The sequence below is a fragment of the Homo sapiens genome, chromosome 21 (genome assembly GCF_000001405.40).
Source record: "Homo sapiens chromosome 21, GRCh38.p14 Primary Assembly".
In the NCBI taxonomy this organism is placed as follows: domain Eukaryota; kingdom Metazoa; phylum Chordata; class Mammalia; order Primates; family Hominidae; genus Homo; species Homo sapiens.
Genome location: NC_000021.9, coordinates 43,380,121 through 43,386,120, shown reverse-complemented (window position 1 = coordinate 43,386,120; position 6,000 = coordinate 43,380,121). Strand labels below are relative to the sequence as shown.

General features: G+C 59.9%; 1 annotated feature.

The window, feature by feature from the left end:
• Positions 1-579: an enhancer, noted in NCBI's record as "H3K4me1 hESC enhancer chr21:44805422-44806000 (GRCh37/hg19 assembly coordinates)". NCBI's record gives its function as "activates a minimal SCP1, AML or CMV promoter by ChIP-STARR-seq in naive H9 embryonic stem cells {active_cell/tissue: H9 hESC(naive)}" and the evidence as "EXISTENCE:reporter gene assay evidence [ECO:0000049][PMID:30033119]".

Below are 6,000 nucleotides of genomic sequence, written 5' to 3'. Positions count from 1 at the left end.
GCCCTGCAAGCAGTGCCTGGGCTCAGAGCAGCCCACAGGACACTGTCCAAGATGCGCAGACCCCGAGGGCCAGAGGGACCGGCTCTGCAGGAATCCCACCTCCTGGGCCCACTCCGCACAGAGTGTTCTGCAGGGCCTGGGAGAACCAGGCACCTGGCCAGGACAGCCTGTGGGTGGGCAGCCGTGTGCACAGATACACACACACGTCAGGGACAGACACACACACACCAGGGACACACACCACACACACCAGGGACGCACACCACACACACCAGGGACACCCACACACACCACGGACGCACACCACACACACCAGGGACACCCACACACACCAGGGACGCACACCACACACACCAGGGACCCCTGCACACACCAGGGACACACACACACACACCGGGGATGCACACCACACACACACCAGGGATGCATACCACACACACCAGGGACCCACACACACACCAGGGACCCACACACACTCCAGGGACGCACACCACACACACCAGGGACCCCCGCAAACACACACACCAGGGACACACACACACCAGGGACACACACACCACACACACACCAGGGACACACACCACACACACCAGGGACACACACCAGGGACAGACACACAAGGGATGCACACACACCAGGGACGCACAGCACACACACCAGGGACCCATACACACACCAGGGATGCACACACATCAGGGACACACAAACACCAGGGACGCACACCACACACACCAGGGACACACACCACACACACACACACCATGGACACACACACCACTGGTACACGTTGTGAACACACCATGGACACACAGAGAAACACACACAACATGGGTACACACAATACACACCACAAAGACATAACCTCCCCACACACTCACATACATAACACACATACCAGAGACACATGGTTACACACAGCACACACTCCCTCATCAGACACCCACACACCATCTCACACACACCACACACCCATCAGACACCCACACATCATCTCACACACCACACACTCACCAGACACCCACACATCATCTCACACACACCACACACCCATCAGACACCCAACATCATCTCACACACACTACACACTCACCAGACACCCACACATCATCTCGCACACACCACACACCCATCAGACACCCAACATCATCTCACAGCAGTCATATGCACAATTAGAGGTGATTTCATACATACACTCACACACCTAGCAGCACTCTCTGTCAAAATACACCCTCGCTGACATCACACCCATTCACACCCACACACACATTCTCCCATACACTCACAAGTAAGCACACTCACACCCACGCACACATCCAGGATGAGGTTTTCTCTTTAATGAGGAGCTGTGTTTCTGCTGTCACCCCTGCCCAGGTCATGCACCTGTCCAGGTTCTACGGGACCTGCCTACCTGGGCACAGGTGGGCCTGTGTGGCCTCTCTGCCTGGCCCCGGCTCTCGGGGGTGCCAGGGAGTGCCCAGTCCCGCTTCCCTGATGGGCCTGTGTGTGGTGAGCTCAGGTGAGGCCGGGGGGCAGGGCGGAGCCGGATGGGCCCATGCTGGGCATGATTCCAGCCAGGGGAGGGACACCTGTGTCCCAGCCGAGGCCCAGAGGGCAGGGGCTTGCCCATGGCCACTCAGCACCACAAGGCTCACACAGCTCCTGACACCCCACCTCACTTTTTCCTGAACACAGCCTGGGATGGGTGTCTAAAATGGGTATCTAAAAATTGGCCTTGGCCAGGTGCAGTGGGTCATGTCTGTAATCCCAGCACTTTGGAAGGCTGAGGCAGGCAGATCACCTGAGGTCGGGAGTTTGAGACCAGCCTGACCAACATGGAGAAGCCCCGTCTACTAAAAATACAAAATTAGCCAGGCGTGGTGGTGCATGCCTGTAATCCCAGCTACTCGAGAGGCTGAGGCAGGAGAATTGCTTGAACCCGGGAGGCGGAGTTTGCAGTGAGCTGAGATCACGCCATTGCCCTCCAGCCTGGGCGACAGAGCGAAACTCCGTCTCAAAAAAAAAAAAAATTGCCTTAAACCCCAGGAAAGGACTATCCGGAGTTACTTTATTCCCTGTGTCATGCCCAGCAAGGAAAGGACAGAGGAGGGTGGGCCCGTGCCCTCTGGAGGGACCCTCTCTGAGGTCCGTTCTGGGTGGCGCTCTCTCCTCTCCTACTGCGCGGGGCCTCAGGAACAAGGCTCGGGCTGTAGCTGCTGGGGCCCGGGGGTCCGTGGGTGGGAACAGTGGGCACTCTCGCTAACACTCCTGGGGCCAGCCCATGAAGAGCTCCGAGGGAGCCTTTCGAGGCCCACGCGCGTTCTGCTGTGTGCCTTTCACGTCTTAATTCCCGGTGCCCTTAGCAGGCTGCGTTCGGAGGGCTGGGCTCCCTGCCCGGGGCTTCCCTTCCTATACACACAGGGCCCCTGCCCTGGGCCCAGCCCCCAGCCTCCTTCTTTCCTGGCTCAGACGATGTCCCCGACGTCCCTGAGCCTGGCGTGACGGGGACACAAAGGCCTGGCATCCTGGATCCCTCCCTCCCTCCCTCTGCCGGCCTATTTCTCAGAGCTTTCAGTGCCTGCGTCACCGTCACCGTAGGGACTTAATGACGTTTAGCAGCTCCCGGGCGGGTGGCTTCTCGCGCTCTGCAGGGGTGACGGTGCCATTTGATTCAAGGGGGGCTCAGGAGGGGGACGGAAGTAGCACTGCACCAGCCACACATACGCTGGCTATTGGGTCCTAGTCACACCTGCTCTGCCCCCTGCCCCCTTCCCCCTCCCCAGTCCCGCGGGGTTTCTCAACAAGCCAGGGGACCACACTCTGGAGACTGAGAGCCGGTGCCTTTGTCCCATGGAGCCAGTGTTCAGTTGCTCCTTGTCCCCTCCCGGGATCCTCACTATCCACACGGCTTGTTGCTGGATAAACAACGGCTCCTTTCTTTGGAGGCTCGGGGGAGGGGGGGCGGGGCCACGGTCACTGAATGGGGCTCCCACCTGCCAGAGGCGCTGGGCCCTGGACAGGAAGTGTTCTGGCAGCTGGTGTGAGTGGTGTGAGTGGTGCAAACTCCACAAAAGTGTGTAGCCCAGTCCTGTTTCCCACCTGACGCTCTCTACCCGGCAGCCTCTCTCCCCACCCCAGGCACCCTCCCCTTGTTGGCACAGTTTGGGGGGCACAGATACCCAAACTGTATCTAGTTGGGGTTATGGGATGACTGTGCAGATGGCTCATGGTCACTTATGGGTACCTCACAGCTGTCCAGAACAGGAATGGCTTCCGGGAAACTGCCCCTGCACACCTGCAGGGTCAGAGGTCGTGTCCGGGCAGTTTCAAGTCCGAGGAGTTAGGAAGAGACAGGGCTTGGGAGCAGAGCCGGGGGCTCCTCTGTGGAAGGTTCTTCCAGACCCACTAGCTCATGTAAAAACAAAACAAAGCACCTCGCGGAATTCAATTATCCCAAAAATACACACGATACTATCAGTAAGAGACTTTTCTATCAATACTTAAAAGTAAATTTTGGCCAACAGTGTGTGTGGTAGAGCAGGGAAGTCCGGGAAGCCTCCGGAAGGATGGAAGGAGAAGGAGAGAAGAGGGGGTGGGCGTCTCCCGGAAGCTGGAGCCAGGCAGAGGGTGGGGAGGGGGCTTCTCCTAGCCTGTGTTCTCCTCGGCATCCCTGGTGGCTTGGGGCTGGGGAGGGACACCCAGCTCCTCCCGACCGACGTCTATGGCTTCTGGTGCTCCACTCTCCTCTCGGACAGCAGCAAACATTTAAGGTCCACAGAGCTTGTTTTCTTAAGGCCCCTTAACTTCAGCCAGTCATGGCTTCTCCAGAGGAGGGGCTGCTCTGGGACGCTGGGTGCTCCTGGTCCCCCTGCCCTCTACGTGGGTCCCCCAAGGGGCCTTGCCAAGGGGCTGGCCCAGAGCTGGGGTGCAGGGGAACAGAGCTGCCTCCACCCCCAAATTCCTGGTGGGATTTCCTGTGGAGTCTCCAAGGACCTCTGAAGTGGAAAGCTGTGGAGAGCGAGGCGTCTCTTCCTCTGGGGAAAAAGGCCTTCAGCGAGCAGAGGCAGGTGCGAGTGGCCCATGAACTTCTCCAGTGCTGGGCAAAGTGCTCACCACAGGGAGACAAACCAACCAAGCACCGAAGCCGCAATGGAACTGTCTAGAAATTAATGTGAGCTGGAGCCCATAGGAGGTCCCTGGGCAGGGTTTCTGCTTATAGGGCCCCAGGGAGTGCCGGCAGCTTCTGCAGTGTCCTCGAGTGACCACCTGCCTTGCCACACACCTGGTGTCTTTGCCCTCAAGATGGGAATGTGTGGCCTTCCATGCGAGCCGTGCACTTCTCCCTCGGGCCAGGCCATGGGTCCAGGGGGCAAGTCTGTGTGTCCGTGCCAGCCGTGCACCTCTCCCTCTGGCCAGGCCATAGGTCCAGGGGGCAGGTCCGTGCATCTGTGCCAGCCATGCACCTCTCCCTCGGGCCAGGCCATGGGTCTAGGGGGCAGGTCCGGGCGTCTGGTTCCTCCTTTCTGACCCCGCAGGTGTCCAGGGCAGTGCCCAGTGTGGCGCGTGTCAGGAATGGCTGCTCAAGTGGCTTGGGACAGATCAGATTCAGTGGCTTCTAGCTTGGCACCCACAAAAGCACACAAACAGGCAAACGAACACACAGTTTGTCTGGCCAAGTGCAGGCGGGCTGGGGAAGCGATTCCAGGGCCCTGCCGAGCAGTATCCTGGGGCCCTGCATTGGCTCAGGAGGCCCGTTCAGGCTGCCTTTGGTGGGGCCTCTGGGGCACCTCCACCCCCAGTCCCCAGAGAGGAAGTGGGGAGCGCGGGTCGCTGTCCTTGGGCGAGCACAGCCCTCTGCCCAGGCACGGCTCCTTCTTTATGGACACCCATTCCCCGTGCTTCTTAGTCCGGCTGGGGACATCATCGTCTTGGTGCTTTGGCTAACGCAGAACTAACACACCCTTGGGGCCCGGCAGCACATCCGTGAACCAGAAATCAGAAGCCCGCTCTCGGCAGCTCCGGCCCACACAGCCCACACCGGAAACCCCCAAACACCCACCCAGGCGGGACAGCCCTGACCACACACTGCTCGGCATGGCCCAGTGCAGGAGCATGGGAGGGGGCAGCGGGGACCCCATTTACACAAAACCGAAACACCGCAGGAGGCCACACCGTGAGAAGTCGGGTGGGGTGGCCTTGGCGGCTGGAAAGGGGGTTTCAGCTGCTGGTCATGGTGGGGTGCTGTGCACTATGGCACTGCACCTGCCTGCAAAGACCAGGCCGCCTCAGCTTCCCTGAAAGCTTGAGGAGGGGCAGGTGTCTGGGCCCCAACCCAAGGCCTGTGGAGTTGGAGTGAGTCCTGGGAGGGCCGGGAATAGGATTCCACCAGTGTCCGGGCATTCGTCACCTGCCACCTGGACAGGCCGTCTGCAGAGACCTCAGGTGAGGCTCATCGAATGGCCCCAGTTGACAGACCGGGAGACCGAAGCAGGGTGGTGAGGGGGCTGAGACATCCTGCTGGCCCTGGGGTGTGAGGTGACAGCTGCAGGGAGGAGTGCTTGTCTCCCGGGGGAATGGGGCCTGCAACAATTGCTAAGGGACAGGCCTGTACACAGGCACACACCACACACATGCACATAGCACACATAGGCACACACAGGCACACACGTAGGCACACACATGCATACACGTGCACACAGCATGCACACACACACACACGGAGACCCGTGGTTTTGGTGCCTCTGGCAGGTCCTGGGGGGCCTGTACTTGCACAGTGGGAAAGCTGCTGCTTCTGGGAGGGTTAACGAGACCCCCACCGCCTTCCAGAAGGCCCCGGCGCCTGCCTCTTCTCTGCCACAGGGCAGGCGATGTGCCCTCCCTCATCGCCCCTCAAGGCAACTACCAGTAACTCCAGACAGTTCTGTTCTTTTCCAGCCCTGTGGAGCAAGGGTGCTTGGGGACAACACCTCTGCCCTGTCCCCTCCTGACTGCAGCCTCTGGGGG